The sequence below is a fragment of the Homo sapiens genome, chromosome 15, assembly GCF_000001405.40.
Source record: "Homo sapiens chromosome 15, GRCh38.p14 Primary Assembly".
Lineage (NCBI taxonomy): Eukaryota > Metazoa > Chordata > Mammalia > Primates > Hominidae > Homo > Homo sapiens.
The window spans coordinates 51,623,905-51,644,058 of NC_000015.10; the positions used below are offsets into that span (position 1 = coordinate 51,623,905).

At 40.5% G+C, this 20,154-nt stretch overlaps 1 long non-coding RNA gene across 2 annotated transcripts in view; it reads right to left on the reverse strand.

Annotated features, from left to right (window-relative positions):
- The window catches only part of LOC105370816 (uncharacterized), a 31,023-nt gene continuing 11,648 nt past the window's right edge, over positions 780-20,154 (reverse strand). The window contains exons 3-5 of one of the 2 annotated variants that reach the window (XR_932236.3): positions 13,193-13,355; positions 1,271-1,382; positions 780-921 (exon numbers count right to left, since the gene is read on the reverse strand). This is a non-coding gene — a long non-coding RNA (uncharacterized LOC105370816). Of the gene's footprint in view, positions 1,383-13,192; positions 13,356-20,154 lie in introns of both variants that reach the window. The other variant, XR_932234.3, reaches the window with a different exon arrangement.

Sequence of the window (20,154 nt, forward strand, 5' to 3'; positions counted from 1 at the left end):
GGCAGATGATTTATAGGGTAGGGAAAGTAAATAATACTTAGCAAGAGATCAAGGTATCCAAGTGGTCTAACTCTTGGCCTACCAAAACATATTATGGAGAGTCTTGAATGCTCCAAGAAGCCCAGATTTCACTCTGCATGCAGTGGGGGTATATCAGATGTTTCTGAGCAAAAATTTATATAATCAGAGCTGCTTTGGGAAGATGACTTTGTAGCATTTTGAAGCATAAAGGGAAGGGTGGGGAAGATTGGAGGCAAAGATCTGTCAGTCGTTGGTAATCTTTTCAGTAGAAAGTTGCAGGAGGAATGAAAAATAATACCTAATGACCTGCGGCATTCTCTCTCTTTCTCTCTCTCCCCCCTCCCTCCCCTTCCCTCCCCCCCCCTTCCTCCCTTCCCCCGCGCCATATCCAAGGGTTCCTTTTTGTTACTACTAGATTCTAGATGAGTCTCTTAATCTTTGACCTTCACTGCATTAGAAACCAAGTCAAAACTATCATCAAACAACAAATTGTACTCAGGTTTCCAAGAGTGTTACTAATTCACATTATTTAAACCATTTCACATTTGGCTCTTGTTTTACAGCATTCCATGAAGTTTTGGCCCATTCACACAGTTGTGAAGTTGTGAGCCTCTTTCTTCCTCTCGGTATCAAACTCAAAATCTGAAGCCTGTATCCACCTGTTCTCTTCCCTCATGAATCCTTTAAATGGCTTCTTGATAGCTGTATCTTAAGGTTGCAAATGACTAATTAAGTCTCCTGGAATTACAGCTGAGCCTTTTATTGTCCAATCTGATCAGTCAAAACTCACTCCAGACTAATATGGCAAGTTTCCTTGGTAGCCCACCAGGGCAGCTAGACCACACTTTTGACTGTCCACAATTTCATCTCTTCCTTGTTCATGCAAATTTTTTCATGGACCTAAAAACAAATTGGAAATTCTTTCTTCTAATTTTGGAAAGGGCTTTCTTTTAAAAATTAGAAAAAGTAGCAGTTTTGTATCATTAACAAAATATGCTAATCGAATTGTAAGATATAATTTATCATGTCCACAACTCTTTTTTTTTTCTTTTTGCTTTGATTTGAGATCCCAACACAACTCTTAATAGTACCTTTGGGGTTGGGTTTAATGGCCCATTGAATGTGTGCCATTAAATGTGGGACTTAGTTTCCCAGCAGTATCACCTACCGATGTGTACTAGTTATCAATTACTGTGCAATAAATTACCCCAAAATTTATCAGCCAAAAATAACAGTAGAGATTCATTACCTCACAGTTTCTGTGAATCAATAATTTAGTAGTAGCTTAGCAGGAAAGTTCTGGTTCAGAGTCTTTCATGAGATGGCAATCAAAATGTCAGCTACATGCTAAATAAAAGAAGCTGGACACAAAAGACCACATAATTCGTTTGTATGAAATCATTTGTATGAAATTTTCTGAAAAGACAAATCTACAGTCACAGAAAATAGGTTAGTGGTTGCCTGGGGCTGAAGGTGGAACTGAGAGTGACTGCTAATGGATATGAGGTTTCTTTTTGGCATGAGATAAACATTCTAAAATTAGATTGTGGTCATGGTTGGGCAGTTCTGTAAAATTACTAGAAATCATTGAATTGTATACTTGAAATTAGTGAATTGTATGGTAATTAAATTATACTTTCAATAAAGCTATCTAAAAAAGAAATAGCCAGGGATACAGTCATCTGAAGTCTTGACTGAAGTTAAAGGCCCTGCTTCCAAGATGGCAGGCTCTCATGGCTAGCAAGTTGAGCCTAATAGATAGATGGAGGCCTCAGTTCCTATGTGTTCCTCTCCATAGTGCTGTGTGAGTGTCCTCAAGACACGGCGGCTGACTGCTCCAGCAGCAAGTGATCCAAGAGAGAGACCAAGGTAGAAACTGCAATGTCTTTTATAAACTAGCCTTAGAAGTCACACGCCATCATTTCCACCATATTTTATTGGGTGCACAGGCCAGCTATAACTTAGTGTGGGAGACTATTTCCCAAGAAAGTGAGTGCCAGGAAGGGAGAGTCGTGAGCAGCCATTTTGGAGGTTGTCCACTACACCACGGAACTCAAGGACTTTATCTTCAAGAGTCAAGGGGCAGCCAGGCGCAGTGGTTCACGCCTGTAATCCCAGAGCTTTGGGAGGCCGAGGCAGGCAGATCACCTGAGGTCGGGAGTTTGAGACCAGCCTGACCAACATGGAGAAACCCCGTCTCCACTAAACATACAAAATTAGCCGGGCGTGGTGGTGCATGCCTGTAATACCAGCTACTCAGGAGGCTGAGGCAAGAGAATCACTTGAATCCGGGAGGTGGAGGTTGCTGTGAGCCGAGATCACACCATTGCACTCCAGCCTGGGCAACAGAAAGTGAAACTCTGTCTCAAAAAAAAAGAGTCAAGGGGCATGACTTGTGTCATTATTACTCTTACCTACAGAGGTAACTGGAATTTCTACTCATAAATCTACAGCATCGTAATGTTGATCTTTGATATATCTGTTATTAGTTCTTGTTGAGCTATCTATATAATTTAAATATTAAATTCTCAAGTGATTCCATTTGTTTGAGGATCTAATACCTATTTTTTAAAAATATTTCTTCCAGTTGTGGGGACCTTACAGTTTTCCTAGGATGTCTAACACTTTAAGCTTCTGGTTTCTTCAGTAGTATAGCAATGGAAGCCCTGACTTTCTGTTACCAGTTCATTTTGCAGTCTATTGTGTTAAAGCCTGAAATTGATGTTGTAACAATACCTGTATTGCTTTTCAGTCATAAACTATAGCAATGATGCATTTTAATCTAAAATATCATAGGTGTGAACCTATATCAGTTATCACTTTAACAAACCCCTCTGAAACACAGTGGCTTAAAACAACAATTATTATTATTTCGTATGTTCTGTGAATTGGTTGGGAAGTTCTGCTGGTTTCACTCATACAACTGCAGTGAACTGTGGTAGAAGGTCCAAGATGGCCTCATGTCTAGCAGTTGATACTAGTTGTTGTCTGGGGTGCCTCAGTTCCCCTTTATGTGGCATCTTGCCCTCCATAGACTAGACCAACGTTTGTACATGGCAGTCTCATGCTTAGCCTTGAAGGGCAGAGTCACTTCTATCATATTCCTTGGTCAAAACAAGTCACAGAGCCAGCACAGATTCAAGAACTAGGAAAACAAATCCACCTTTCAATGGGAAGAACAGAAAAGTCACATTGAAAATGGGTATAGAAGAAGTTATCGGCATCTTTACAAAAAAATCTGTATCACAGCCTCAAACTCTAGCTTTGACCATCTCTGTGGCCTCTGATTTGTTATATTTGCTTTTGCTTTAGGTAAGAATGCCACTTATAGGATGAAAAACAAAAACTTACGTATCTGCTCTCTTTCTCTGCTAGAGGTAGCATTAAATTATTGTCTTTTTGGTGACTGTAACTCAGACTCTTAGCTATTTCTCATTCATTATGCATTTGGCTTTTTATCTCTAATGTAAGTGCATTGGACATGGGGCAGTTTTTACATACCTTTCTCTGGTGTAAAGGTGAATCTTTATGCATCTTATAAGCAGGTGAATACAATAAGTTTTCATCTAGTTAGATTATTTTGTTGCTAGGCTCAGAACACTGACCATTTAGAAGGAGTACAGAGAATATTGGTTCATATTTTTGCAGGTACCTATTTATGATTGTACTGTGAAAAGTAATATGCTCTATGTATACAATTTATTTCCTTAATGATCACTGATTAGCACTTTTATAAACTCATTTAAGCAAGAGCTTAAGTGGTAACTAATTTTTTAAACATTTTATCGTATGAATGATTATACAGAGTAGACCAGACACAAAAACTATTCACCCTTGCTTATCTTTTCAACTTCATCTTTCAACATTCCTGACCTCTAAATGTAGGGTACAACCACACTAGTATACAGTAATTCCTTTCAAGCCTCTGGCCACTGGCTAATTTCCCTTTCCAGAAACTCCCTCACTATTATCATTACCACCATTTGGTCGGGCGTGGTGGCTCATGCCTGTAATCCCAGCACTTTGGGAGGCCAAGGTGGGCAGATCACCTGGGGTCAGGAGTTCGAGACCACCCTGGCCAACATGATGAAACCCCGTCTCTACTAAAAATACAAAAAAAAAAAAATAGTCAGGTGTGGTGGCATGCGCCTGTAGTCCCAGCTACTTAGGAGACTTTGCTTGAACTTGGGAGGTGGAGGTTGCAGTGAGCTGAGATCGCACCACTGCACTCCAGCCTGGGCAACAAGAGTGAAAACTCTGTCAAAAAAAAAAAAAAATCCATACTCTTTGCCTATTTCACTCTTTCACTCCTACTCTTCCCTAAAAATTCAGTTCAGGCACCCCCATTTCTGGAAAACTTTGCACAGTGTGAATTAGATTCCTTTGTTATATACTCACAGTATTCTCTTACCTTTTCTGCCTAGAGGGCAGGGACTGTGTCTTGATGTTGACAATTTCTGATTGCCTTACCTATTATCTGTTTTCTCCTCATCAGGACCCTCAGTTTTTAGCTGGGAAATAGATGCCTGGAATAAAGAATACATTTCCCAGCCTACCTTGTTGCCACTTGGTTATATGGCTAAGTTGTGATCAATTAGATGTTGATCAAAGCAGAAGTACAGTAGTTTCTGGAAATTTTCCTTAAAAGGTAGCTATCATACCTTTTATGCCTTCTTCCTTCCTTCCTCCATCCTGTTTCCCTAGAACATAGATGAGATCACTGAAGCTCCATTTTGGAGCATGAGGATGAGGGTTCAACCCTAGGGATGGTGGAGTAGAAAACTGGAAGCTGCCGGGTTCGGTTGATCACACCTGTAATCCCAGCACTTTGGGAAGCTGAGGTGGGTGGATCATTTGAGCTCAGGAGTTCCAGACCAGCCTGGGCAACAAGGCGAAACCCTGTCTCTACAAAAATACAAAAATTAGCTGGGCATGGTGGTGCATGCCTGTAGTCCCAGCTACTCTGGAGACCAAGGTGGGAGTTTTGTTGGAACCCCAGAGGTGGAGGTTGCAGTGAGCCCATATTGCACCACTGCACTACATCCAGCCTGGGCAATAGAATGAGATGCTGTAAAAAAAAAAAAAAAAAAAAAAAAAAAAGAAAAGAAAAGAAAGAAGAAAAGAAAAGAAAGAGAAAAAAAAACAACAACTGGAAGCTTGTCACTTGTCACTGAATTCCAGGCAACTGTGGAGCCTTCTCACCAGCCTTGGTCTTCTCCATCTGGATTTTTACATTAGAGAGAAATAAACTTCTATATTATTTAAGCCACTGTGTTTTGTGTCTCTGTTAGAGATGTTGCTAATTCTAACTCATACTCTTAGCTGTGTGTGTGTGCGTGCGTGCGTGTGTGTGTGTGTGTGTGTGTGTGTGTGTTTAATTGCTAAAGCCTGGCAAAGTACCTGGAACACAGTAGGAACTCAAGAAATGTTAACTAAGCCAAGTAGTTATTAACTGTATCAGGGTACATTATGTAAATTTTGTGAAAATGTCACAAATATTTTAGAACTTACATACCTTTCCAAGGCCTCAGAAAACAAAATACTACATCCTGTCGGGAGGGCAGATGGTAGTTGTGGGATAGAAAGCCAGTAGTGTTGAGATAAAGGATAAGGACTGAACAAAAGTTGAAGTTAGTTACTAAATCAGGCATGGCCTGCTGGGTAGTCAACAGACCATTTTGTGCATCTGAAGAAATGAATTAATTTTGCTGGCATGGTACTTAAGCAAAATACAATTTTAAAGAGAGAGAGAAACAAGTTCATTCGGTGCTAGACTTAGAGAGAAAAATGAACTTATGTTGTTCTGGTTGCTGAGAGAAAAATCAGTCAACAATCAGGCATTGTGGTGTTGAAATCACCAAGTATTGCACAGTACTCTTAGGGGTGGGCCAGGATGGTCACACTCCTAAAGGGAAGTGAGAGGGGAGAGGAATCAGCACTTCCTCATGGTGAAGAGATGGCATCCCTGCCTGCAGGAAAAAAATTGTATCTGGGGGCAGCAGAAACAAGCATGTGCCAGAGGGTCTGGGTCCAGTGTTTGTTTTTTGTTGTTGTGTGGTGGTGGTGGTGGTTTGTATTTCCCTGCATGTGGGTGTGCCCACATGCATCAGGTGTTAACCAAAAAAATCTGACGTTATCAATTGACTCTCCTTTTAATCTAGTTCTATATACTGCAAGCATATTTGTATAGGCATATTCCTGTGACCATTAACCCTTTTACATATGAAGAAAGATTATGAAAAATGTTCAGGATAGATTAAGGTTTTTATTGCATTTTTCAAAAAGAAGATTGTAAAAAGAGAAAGCTGACCACCAACATATGAATGGATAAATTGTGCTATCTACATACAATAGAATATTATTCAGCCATGAGGAATGAAGTACTGACATATGCCATAATGTGGATGACCTTGAAAACATTATGCTCAATAAAGGAAGCCAGACACAAAGGCCCCACTGGCTACACATTTATATGAAAATTTCCAGAATAGGTAAATCCATAGAGATCTTAGAAAGCACATTGGCATTGCCAGGGCCCAGGGGAAGAAATGAATAGGGGTACAGGGTCTCCTTGTGTAGTGATAAAAATGTCTTGGAACTAGATAGAGTTAATGGTTGCACAACACTGTGAATGTATTAAGTGCCCCTGAATTGTTCACTTCCAAATGGTTAATTTTATGTTATATGAATTTTACCTCAATAAAAAGAAACAGTCATTTTTTGTTAATTAACAGAAACTCCATGTGTGTACAAAGAAAAAGTTCTAGAAAGTATGTTAACAGCACTCATGTCTAGTTGATAGAATTATAAACAAGTTTAATTTCAATTTTTTTCCACATTTGTTTCCAATTTTTCTGCACTGAATATATATGAGTTGCTTTTATATTGGGAAAACAATGATTTTAAATTTTTAAACAAAAGATGGCCTTTCTTTAAGTCTATGAAGAAGTTTAAGAAACTAGGAAATCATGCTCAGATTAACATTATGTATTCCATATCAGTTGCAAAATTAAATTTTAAATGAAGATATAAAGTTTTATGGAGTATATTTCATTATTTTTAAAACACAATAATTTGTCCACACTTATATGTAAAATTTCAAATGCAAATGCAAAAGACATGTTTAAATTTGTTTAAAAGACAGGCATTGCAGAGGGTTCCTAAACAAGTCTATGGGCCTGCTGGGCCTTTGATCTTGGAGTGGATGATGACTTCCATAGCTCTACAACAGTGTCAGTAGGCCTACAACCTCAAAATCTCACCACCTTTGAAAAGCAGTTGGTAAGGAGCCAGTAGTCTTTCTGGTAAACAGAGTCCATGAACCCCACCGTATTAACAGTTTCTTTTGCCTAGAGGTCTTTCTCCCTTCCCCTCTTCAAACACGGCTCCACCCCAATTCAACATTGTCTTCAAAGCCCAGCTTTAAAATCACCTAGGTAAAACCTTTCCTCCCAATGATGTTAAATAAATTTATCCCACCCTCTGTTCCCCTAAATCTTTGTGTCTTCACTATGAGATTTATCTTATTACTTATATCACAATATACTTTTTCAGTGAGTTAGCAGCACAACTCCCATGCAAATATAAAATGAAATTATGCCAAAGATTTTGTTCAACTCATTCCTTGATTAAGAAACCAGTAAGATGTTAAAATAGTTCAAATAAGAATTTGACTTATGGAGATTTATATCTTCTACCTGACAGTTCATTTGCATTGCTTATGAAAATGAGTTAGTTATATTGCTATCAGTTTTCCAAAAATTTAGCTTTTATTCTCAATGTTTTTAAATAGCCTAGTTAATAGCAAATCAATCAAATAATATCAGACAATCCTTAAAATTCTCCTAGGCAATGCCCAGCTCTTCACTGAAGGTATACTTGACAATTTATTTTGCCTATTTCCAAGTCTTGAATAATTTTTCTTGACAATTCATAGCTTAGATCTCTGTCTACAGAGTCTGTTTGCTAGAGTATGAGCTCAAAAGTATATCTTCAGAGATTGGTTAAATTAAATACTGAGAGCGTCTTCATTCCAGGCAGCAACAAATACTCTAGGGATACAAAGATGAGGCAAAGGCAGAAAAACTTCTTTCCCTGACTTCAGGGACTTATTTAGTACATATTAAAGCACATAAACAAATAATTTATATACGATATGAAAGAGCTATACCTTAAGATAAATCTGTGGCAAGTACAAAATGGAATTGTAAGAGAGCACGATTAGGATTATTTTTAGGGAATCGATACACATATTCCTAATGCAAAAACTCATTCATGACTTCCCTACAGAAAATTCAGTTCAAGCACACACAAACATTTTGGCACGTGAGGAAAGAGGCTATAAAGAAAAAAAGATAATATGATAGGTAATATTTATGGAGCACATTATCTTTAATGCTTATGACTACCTAATAACATAGGCAGTTTTATGAACCCCTTTTTATAGATGAGGAAACAGAAGCACACGGAAGTCGTACAATGCAAGACTCTGTAGACAGAAATCTAAGCTATGAATTGTCAAGAAATTCATGGGAATAGGCAAAATAAATTGTCAGATGTACCTTTGGTGAAGAACCCTCTAAGAACTGAAAGTCTAATGAAGTAGGAAAAATACAAAAATGATACAATCCCATACAATGTAACAATGGTATTAAGAGTACAGTGTAATAATTATGCCAAATATAGTGGACACGTTTTGAGATGCCAATCCAAATCATGCCCCCTTTGAAATTTCCTCCATCTATCATCTCTGCTAAAAGGGGGATCCTAACTGACTATGTTTGTCCCATCTGATCTCCACAAAGTCCTGGATCAGCTGATTGAATTGGGGCTCTACATCTATTCAAGTGAAAACTAATTTATAGGCTGGGCTGCACCATCCAGATTTTCTGAGCTCGGAATGTGAATTTGGGACACAGAGATCCTCACTTGAACAATAGCGGATGTAGGACTTTAAAGAACTTGCAAAGGTGGGATTGAAGGGAGCACAAGGACAGGCCAAAGTGTGGAGCTGAGGAACCCTAAATGAGCAGAAAAGGCTGTGCTGCAGAGAGAAGCAGGACACAAGGTAGAGCACAGCAGGAAATGGAGATCAGAGGCCGCAGCAATGGAATTACAGACTCTGATCCTGGCTTTCCAACTGCACATTCTCAGTGGCCCAACTGCCTTTTCTTTTCTGAAGTCCATGAAATGCCTGCTGCATCCTTTTTATTAAACTCTTTTGTTGCCCTTCCTTTTTCTTGATCAGTCCTAAGTTGCCCAGTTCCTGAAGCATTCACCAGGCAAAGAGGTATGAAAAGCATATGCGAAAATAGAGGCAACAAGTTACACGGTACGCTCAGAGAAAGCTAATCACCTTACAGCGACTGAACAGCACGTTACGTTGTGATTTCTATAGGCATCCAGACTGATGCTTTGATCAATTAGTATTCATTTACCTGAATTCGCTCCTTCCACCCAAGCCTGCTCCCTGTACTGCTTCTCACATGGTGGCTTTTCTTCCTATCTCTTCATCTACTGCAGTATGAGTGTGCCTCTGCACCCCTATATTCCTTTATGTCCAGTTGGATGAGTGACTTTCTCATTTATTTGAGTTGGAGTCATGATGAGTACCAAGTCCAAAGCTAGCAGACCACACTTAACTTTTGTTTAGACTTCTTATGAATTATAATTTTTCTAACCATTTTTTCTAACAAAAGTTGGATAGTTTTTTGTTTGTTTGTTTTTGAGACAAGGTCTTGCTCTGTCACCCAGACTGTAATATAGTGGCTCCATCACAGCTCACTGCAACCACAACCTCCAGGACTTGAGTGATCCTCTCACCTCAGTGTCCTGAGTAGCTGGGACTACAGACACCTGCCATTACACCTGGATGATTTTTATTTTATTTTATTTTATTTTTTTTTTGAGATGGAGTCTCGCTCTTGCTGCCCAGGCTGGAGTGCAATGGTGCAATCTCGGCTCACCGCAACCTCCGCCTCCCAGCTTCAAGCGATTCTCCTGCCTAAGCCTCCCGAATAGCTGGGATTAGAGGCATGTGCCACCATGCCCAGCTAGTTTTGTATTTTTAGTAGAGACAGGGTTTCTCCACATTTGTCAGGCTGGTCTTGAACTCCCAACCTCAGGTGCTCCTCCCGCCTCGGCCTGCCAAAATGCTGGGATTACAGGCGTGAGACACCATGCCCGGCCTACACCTGGATAATTTTTAAATGTTTTGTAGAGACAGGGTCTCCCTATGTTGTTGGTCTCAAACTCCTGGGCTCAAGCGATCCTTCCACCTCAACCACCCATAATGCTAAGACTACAGGTGTGAGCCACGGCGCCTGGCCAAAAGTTGGATAGTTTTTAAAAAACACTGGCTACTTACAGAAAGAAGTCTAACTTAAGAAAACCGTAATTCCCTAAAACTCTTTCAGAGTTAAAGAAAAAAAGTCATATTTGCTTTTATGGAACTAAAATAATTATTAGAGTTTTGGCTATTGATCTGTGACCAGTGATTCCTATAGGACACTCTCTGCCTATTCTCACGCTACAAAATCAAGCCAGGTTTCAGATTCTCTTCACTTCACACCCCCAGTAAGATGCTTTTTCTGCCTTATCAGCCTCTAATAATTTTTTTTAAGTCAAAGCAAGTTTATTAAGAAAGTAAGGGAGTAAAGAATGGCTACTCCATAGACAGAGGAGCTGCATGGGCTTCTCAGCTGCTTATACTTATTGTTAATTCTGGATTATATGCTAAACAAGGGGTGAATTATTCACGAGTTTTCCAGGAAAGGGGTGAGCAATTCCCAGAACTGAGGGCTCTTCCCCTTTTTAGACCACATGAAGTAACTTTCTGATGCTGCCATGGCATTTGTAAACTGTCATGGCACTGGTGGGAGTGTCTTTTAGCATGCTAATGCATTATAATTAGCATATAATGAGCAGTGAGGACAACCAGAGGTCACTGTCATCACCATATTGGTTTTGGTGTGTTTTGGCCAGCTTCTTAACCACAACCTGTTTTATCAGCAAGGTCTTTATGACTCGCATCTTGTGCTAACCTCCTATCTCATCCTGTAACTCAGAAACCCTAACTTCCTACACATGCAGCCAATTTACCCAGCCTCTATTCAAGATGGAGTTGCTCTGGATCAAACGCCTCTACATATTTCCCCCCTTTCTTTTACAAGGGAACCCTTAATCCTAAGGGTTATAAAGGGATGAAGATCTATCTTCTGTAAGAGATGGATCAGGCTGAATAGGGGCAATGATATTCCTGCCTAACTATTAGGGTCTTTTGCATCCAGGGCAAAGAGGAGCTCAGTCAGAAAGTGTTGGTATGGCAAGGGCCATTCATAAATCTTGAGTTTCTGGAAGATTAATAAGTGTTCAATTTAAGGAAACATTCAGTAAGCTTATCCTGCATTCCTACACAAAGAGTACAACAGCAATATATTCCACAACATAAAGCAAAATAAATAAAATTATCCCAAATAAACTAAATTAGAAGGCTTTCCATGAACTGGCAACTGTTGGAACCAAGCTGATACTGGGTTGCTAGCTGATTCCAATAAATGTCCAGAATTAGAATACTGAACCAGATTTTTACACTACCCATCCCTCCTGTTTCTTCTGAACTATAGTCAGAGATCACTGATTGGTTCACAGGAATAAGCAGGGTTAATCTAAATTGCAACTAAGCTATAGCATTGGGCAGTTTCCATTGCCCTTCCCAGAAGGAGCCTAGAGCAGCCAATTTTGAGCTTGCACAGGCTTTTAACTGCTCAAGATAATTTTTAGGGCTAAGTATAACATGAACCCCAAAATTCCTGTTCCCTGGATAGCAGAGACCAAGAGAAAGTAACAGCACATGGTTACAAGGTCAAGCTCCCAAGGACATAAAACATGATGAGAGGGAAACTTCATCTAATTTTTTTTGTTTCAGAGACCTGCAGCAAAGTTTGTAACTGACCAGTTTCCTGGAGTGTCTTGAACAGCAGGCTTACGGGGGTCCTAAGCCGATATTCTATCCTAAAGTACTCTTCTTTATGACAGAACAATGCAGAAAGACAAATTTATAGCACAAAGTACACCAGATTCACTATATCTTAAGATTGGCCTCACACATCCTTTTTTCCATTAATCAAAACTTTGCAGAGAAGATAAACATTGATTTTTACCATTCACTCAACCAGTTTGCACAGGGAGAAAGACGAGAAGTCTGACTGGTAAGAACTCCTTACCCTTTGGCAAGCATGCCAGGTTTCTGGGTTTTCTTTCCCTGAGCAGCCCTAATGACCTTGCTCACCTCATGAAAGCCCTGGGGGCCAAGCTGCAACTCAAAGGAAAATCATCTTTTTCGTTTCATGGAATCATAGGCAAAACCCTCTCGATATTGTAAGATGTCACCCAACCAGCCGCATGGGGAACCTGAATTAACATTTTCTATTCCATTTTGCTCTAGCCAGGGTAAAATAAGTGTGACAAAACAGACATTAGCCACTCCTCTTAGCATCCAATATTGAACTGGCAAGGGTCAAGCTTGCCCCCGGATGAGCCCTGTCATCTTTAATCCAACTTCGACCAGAAGTTTCAAAATGTGATCTCTGGGCAAGATGGTCGCCCTGTGTAACAGGAAAGATAGGAAAGGGAAAGGAGAGAAAAGGAGAAAACCATTTTCTGTGGCAGTGTAGGGAAGGTGAGGAGCTCAGAGAGGCCAGAGAGAGACCCACCCATTGCAGCAACACTGAATCAAAAGTTCAGGCAGCTGCTTGTCGGTAGTGAAGGGATTTTTTTTCCAGCAGTCCCATCAGCTCTCTATTTTCCCCTTTGGGGGAGAAAAAAAAAGCTCCCTATTTCCCACGATCCTGTACATACCTAACCCTGTCACCTACAACCTTCAGCAAACAGCACAAGGCAGATTAATTCAAAGAGAATAGCAGTTAACATCCCACAGTGCCAAACCCATTTTTAACCAAGAGGGACTCTACTGAGAGGGGCCTCTAACCCCATAAATCTTAGGAAGGACTCTAACCTTCCTAAGTTGGGCTTCAAACCCAAGTTTGGTCAAGCATTCTTGCCTTTTATTAAGAGGGGCCTTTAACCCTGTCTGTCTTAGGAGGGACTCTAACTCCCCTAAGTTGGGCCTCTAACCCAATCCCATCCTTTACCTGAGTACCCCACCACTTACCCAAAGTCAGCCAATTAGTGTTGCGGTCTATTTCCTTCGGGTCATGGCCTCCTCAGTATCATCCCTTCATGGTTCACCAGGAAGATGTTACCGGAAAGGGGTCTGGATCCACATCCAAAGAGTGGGTTCTTGGATCTCACACAAGAAAGAATTTGTGGCAAACCTATAAAGTAAAGTGAAAGCAAGTTTACTTAAAAAGTAAAGGAATAGGCCAGGCGCAGTGACGCAAGCCTGTAATCCCAGCACTTTGGGAGGCCGAGGCGGGCGGATCACAAGGTCAGGAGATCGAGACCATCCTGGCTAACACGGTGAAACCCCGTCTCTACTAAAAATACAAAAAATTAGCCGGGCGTGGTGGCGGGCACCTGTAGTCCCAGCTACTCAAGGGGGGCTGAGGCAGGAGAATGGCGTGAACCCGGGAAGCAGAGGTTGCGGTGAGCCAAGATCACACCACTGCACTCCAGCCTGGGCGACAGAGCAAGATTCTGTCTCAAAAAAAAAAAAAAAAATGTAAAGGAATAAAGAATGGCTACTCCATAGGCAGAGCAGCCATAATTTTTCACTTTTTAAAAAAATATTTTGAATCACCCTGTGTAATAATTGATTACGGGCTAGCTTTAGAACCCTTGCTTTTGTTTTGTCTTGTTTTTTAATAGCTTTCTCTTAGAGTTTGGTTAATAAATTGGCAGTGGCTTACAAATTAATTGTACATATAGGAGCAAAGTAATGTTATTTTGAGATTATCTCATTATATGATAACAATATAATAGGCTTCTGCTTGAACCCTAAGAGGAGCCAGCATGACAAGCTAAACACTCTGGGATAATTACACCATCTTTATGATAAATTATTTACACCTTTAGTGCAAAACCTTTCAGATCAGCCAGTTATTATTCTGTCCTTGACTTCCCCCACCACACGCCCACCTCAAACATCTCGACCAGGTTGAAATAATGTGAAAGAAAGGTGTGGAGATGGGAGAGCATTCTTTTTTTCTTTTTTCTTTTTATTTCTGACAGGTTCTCACCAGGTTGGAGTGCAGTGGTGTGATCACAGCTCACTGTAGCCTCTACTTCCCAGGCTCAAGCGATCCTCCAACCTCAGCCTCCTGAGTGGCTGAAACTACAAGTGCGAACCACCATGACCAGCTAATTTTTTTTTATTTTGTGTAGAGATAGGTTTTCACTTTGCTGCCCAGGTTGGAAGGAGCATTCTAGACTCTACCATCTAGTCCTTTGGGTTCACAAGATTTTTTTTCACCTTTTAATTCACTGTTCTGGTTTCTTTCTAAATAAGAATCCAGGTTTACTGAGAAGGAATTTTGATATCACATTCATGTATCAGGAACCAAAGGATACTTTTTTCTTTTTTAAGATATGGAGTCTCACTATGTTTACCAGGTTGGTCTTGAACTCTTGGCTTCAAGCAATCCTCCCACCTCGACCTCCCAAAGTGGTAGGATTACAGGTATGAACCACCACACCCAGCCCCAAAGGGTAATTCTTAAAGACTAAGATAATATGTCTTGTATTTTTCTTTTCTTTCTTTTTTTTTTTTTTGAGACGGAGTCTTGCTCTGTTGCCCAGGCTGGCGTGCAGTGGCGTGATCTGGGCTCAATGCAACCTCCGCCTCCCTGGTTCAAGTGATTCTCCTGCATCAGCCTCCCGAGTAGCTGGAATTACAGGCACCCACCACCATGCCCAGCTAATTTTTTGTATTTTTAGTAGAGATAGGATTTCACCATGTTGGCCAGGCTGGTCTCGAACTCCTGACCTCAGGTAATCCACCCACCTCGACCTCCCAAAATGCTTGGATTACAGACGTGAGCCACCGCGCCTGGCCTCATCTCTTGTATTTTGTCTAATCTAAGATGTCACTGATTCTAAGACAAACCATTATGTTATATAAAACAAAACAAGAAAAGGAACAAAAACAGCCAATTAAACTGTGACACATTGCTTTCTTATTACTTGGGATATTTATTTCAAACTTATCAAAAGATCTCTTGATTTTTTTTATCATATTGAGCTCTCTTGAGCCTACACCAAAAAATATATATATAAGCAAAATAAATTGGTCAAAACTTCCCAAAACTCTCTCTCACTCAGACTTCAACTCTACTGAATTACTTTTCAACTCAGAATTGTCAATGTCAGGTTTTTCCACACATCATTCTCTGTGCCATCAAAAGCATTAGTGTTGCAGAATTTCTGCGAATGTTTCAGTATTATTTCTGAGATTTTCAATAAGCTGTTGACACCTGTTCTAAAGAGTTGATGCAGATGCACAGACAACAACCACTATGTCATGGTGATTGCTTGACTAAGAGTGGCAAGACAAAGGAAGAGGAACCTAGGGTTTTGGTTCCCAAATACCACCTGGAAAGCCTGTTGAAATTCAAGATGGTGGGCTGGGCGCGGTGGCTCAAGCCTGTAATCCCAGCATTTTGGGAGGCCAAAGTGGGCGGATCAGGAGGTCAGGAGATTGAGACCATCCTGGCCAACATGGTGAAACCCCGTCTCTACTAAAAATACAAAAATTAGCTGGGTGTGGTGGTGAGCACCTGTAGTCCCAGCCATTCGGGAGGCTGAGGCAGGAGTATTGCTTGAACCCTGGAGGCGAAAGTTGCAGTGAGGCGAGATCGCGCCACTGTACTCCAGCCTGGAGACAGAGGGAGACTCCATCTCAAAAAAAAAAAAAAAAAAAAAAAAATTCAAGATGGTGGACTCCTACTCCCAGAGATTCTGATTTTGTAGTCTGGTGTCGGATTCCTTTGGTATTTCAAATGAACAAAATCCTAAGTGGGAGGCAATCTAGCACAAAGACTCGAGAAACATGCTAAGTTCAAATCCTAGATCTATCACTTGCTAATTATGTGATGTTGGGCAAATTAACCATGCCATATCCAGCTTTCTAATCTGTAAAATGGGAGTGATAATACCACTTACCTCATTGACTGTTATAAGAATTAAATAAATTAACACGTATAAAGCAGTTAGGACACTGCCTAGCACAGAATAAATGCTACACAAGTGTTTCAGGTCAAATTTAATAATAAAAGTTATTATTATTATTAAATTTTACCTAGCATAGTGGAGACACTATGATGCCTAGGGAGAGTGCTGGTGGAAATAATCAAAAGACCAATTATTTAACATATACTGTGAACCAACTGCTCAAAAAATAGCACCTTTCTTTTGCCTTATATATTTGGAGAATTCAATAGAAGTTTATAATAAAGCTATAATCCAGCCAGGTGCAGTGACTCATGCCTGTAATTCCAACATTTTGGGAGACCAAGGCAATGGATCACTTGAGGCTGGGAGTTCAAGACCAGCCTAGCCAATGTGGTGAAACCCAATCTCTACTAAAAATACAAAAATTAGCTGGGTGTGGTGGCATATGCCTGTAATCCCAACTACTGGAGAGGCTGAGGCACGAGAGAATCACTTGAACCCGGGAGGCAGAGGTTGCAGTGAGCCGAGGTGGTGCCAGTGCACTACAGCTTGGGCGACAGAGCAAGACCCTGTCTAAAAAAAAAAGGGGCTGGGCGCAGTGGCTCATGACTGTAATCCCAGCACTTTGGGAGGCCAAGGCGGGTGGATCATGAGGTCAGGAGATAGAGACCAGCCTGACCAACATGGTGAAACCCTGTCTCTACTAAAAATACAAAAAAATTAGCCAGGCGTGGTGGTGAGTGCCTGTAATCCCAGCTACTCGGGAGGCTGAGGCAGGAGAATTGCTTGAACCTGGGAGGCGGAGGTTGCAGTGAGCCAAGACTGCGCCACTGCACTCCAGCCTGGGCGACAGAGCGAAACTCCATCTCAAAAACAAAAAAAAAGTAAAAAGAAAACAAACTAGGCCAGGCACGGTGGCTCAAGTCTGTAATCCCAGGACTTTGGGAGGCCGAGGCAGGCGGATCACAAGGTCAGGAGATCGAGACCATCCTGGCTAACACGGTGAAACCCTGTCTGTACTAAAAATACATAAAATTAGCCAGGTGAGGTGGCGGGTGCCTGTAGTCCCAGCTACTCAGGAGGCTGAGGCAGGACAATGACGTGAACCCAGGAGGCGGAGCTTGCAGTGAGCCGAGATCACGTCACTGCACTCCACCCTGGGCAACAGAGCAAGACTTCATCTAAAAAAAATAAATAAATAAATAAGAAAGAAAGAAAGAAAATAAATAAATATAGATATATATAAATCCATGTCCTATCTTCTAGTAAAATCAGTAGAAGTAGAAAAAATACCCCTCTCACTGAGCCCTCTCTGGCAAATACTACATATCTTTTTTATAATAACAAAATTCCACTTATATATTTTATGATGAGAATGCCTAATTCCAGTTTTCTTAAATAAGGGTCCATCTCCAATATTGGATCCAGAGCTGCTGGGAGGGAAAGACTTTGTTTTTGGCTTCAGTTTAGGATTATTTTGGTTTTGCCCACTTTTACTTTATTTTTATTTTATCCTGTGTTTCCTTTATTTCTCCTAAATTTACCTCATAAATGTCAAGGCATATCCCTTGATTCTAGTTAGTCGTGTTTAAGTAAACAAGCTTCCTTTCATCCTGTCTTTGTTGTGATTTTTAGAAGTGCTTGTTATTTATTCTCGCATTCATTCAACAAACTTTATTTGTGCTCCTCACTTGGCTTGGGACCTGTTAGCAGCTGGGACTACACAGAGTCTGCTCTTAAAGAGCTCGGGGTCTAGTGGCTCCATAAACTATATTATTAGTGCCTATGTCCAAAACTAAAATAAGCACTTAGTAAACATTTTTGGTTGAAGCAATGAAACTTCCTTGTTTTCTTCTCTTAGGATTTGTAAATTGAGAAGTTCCTGCTAGTTCTTGACTTACCCCTGGCTCAGGCTAATGTCGAAATACAAATACATTGGGCCTCAAGCTCTCAAAGATTAGTTACCACCTTAAACAAATGATTAACAGATTAAAACTTTATGCTTTACCCTGCAAATTTTTAATAAATACCAGAAATGGAAATGTCACTCAACAACTTTTAAAAATTAAACTTGAAGGTCTATATGCAAAGCAAGATCAATTAGCTTTCTATATGATCTTTACCTTGTTCCATTTTCCTGATTTAGTTGTAATTTACACAAAGATTATTTCTGGGAACTATGAAGTAAGTTCATTTATCCAATACCAGAACCACTAAAAGACAGAGTTCTCCCCTTTACTGCAAATATGACAAAAATAATGACAATGGGGAATATATATGGAGACTAAGGTTACCAACTATTCTTTCTTTGGAGGAACAATCCTTTGTTTTCAAATTATATTTTTCCAGTTTGGGAGGAGAGGAGCGCTAAAATGTTTAATCTTTATGGAAACAAAGGTCATAGTACAGAGTAGTGTGACTTTTTTAAAAACATCCTTACTGGGCAAAATAAAAAAGTTTGCAAGGTTATTTTTATTCCTTTTCCCACTTTGTTATTTATTTATATCTCTGAAGTTCAAAAGTCTGGAAACTGTTATCAGAGAGTGAGATCCATAGACATTTGGGACATCAATGACGTTGACTTACTCACTTATTTAAGACATCTCCGGGCTTGAACCCAGTCACCATAAGTAGTGTAATGACTGTTCTCAAACTTCCCAAAGCAAGATCAGATCTTATCCTGTACTATGATCTTGTCCAATAATTTGTTTATCTTATTAAATTGTTTTTCTTATGAAATCCTGTCTACCTAATGCTCTACTTTTCTGTGATTCAAAACTAAGATGTTGAAGAACCAATGATCTTAAAAACAGGACAGGACTTGTTTCCTGAATGTAATGTGGAGGAAAGGGCACAGGCTGTAGAATCAGAGGGCTGTTCAGACGCTGCTTCTGCCAGCTACTCACTGTGTAATCTTAGGCAGTTTATTTCTCTGATCTTCAGTGTTTTCATCTGAATAATGAGAATAAAACTACATTTCTGAGTGTAAGGACTAAATGTAATAATATATGGCTATTCTTAGGATCTGGCACACAATGGTTGCTCAATAAAAGTAGCCATTATAGCCGGGTGCGGTGGCTCATGCCTGTAATCCCAGTACTTTGGGAGACCGAGGCAGGTGGATCACCTGAGGTCAGGAGTTCGAGACCAGCCTGACCAACATGGTGAAACCCCGTCTCTACTAAAAATACAAAAATTAGCTGGGCATAGTGGAATGCACCTGTAGTCCCAGCTACTCGGGAGGCTGAGGCAGGAGAATAGTGTGAACCTGGGAGATGGAGCTTGCAGTGAGCTGAGATCGCGTCACTGCACTCCAGCCTGGGCGACAGAGCGAGACTCCATGTCAAAAAGAAAAAAAAAAAGTAGCCATTATCACCTATTTACTTTTTTTTTTTTTTTTGAGACAGAGTCTTGCTCTTGTTGCCCAGGCTGGAGTGCAATGATGTAATCTCGGCTGACTGCAACCTTTGCCTCCCGGGCTCAGGTGATTCTCCTGCCTCAGCCTTCCCAGCAGTTGGAATTACGGGTGCATTCCACCATGCCCAGCTAATTTTTGTATTTTTAGTGGAGATGGGGTTTCACCATGTTGGTCAGGATGGTCTCTAACTCCTGATGTCAGGTGATCCACCTGCCTCAGTCTCCCAAAGTGCTGGGATTACAGGCGTGAGCCACTGCACCCGGCTATTACCTATTTTCTAACATTACCTCTATGTAGTTGGAACATTTTTGATGATTTTTTAAATAATATAAATACACAAAGACATTTTGGGTTTTTTTGTTTTTGTTTTTTGGGCTTTTTTTTTTTTTTTTTTTAGACGGAGTCTTGCTCTGTTACCGTGCAGTGGCATGATCTTGGCTCACTGCAACCTCAGCCTCCTGAGTTCAAGTGATCCTCCTGCCTCAGCCTCCCGAATAGTTGGCATTACAGGTATGCACCACCAAAACCAGCTAATTTTTGTATTTTTAGTAGAGAGGGGGTTTCACCACGTTGGCCAGGCTGGTCTC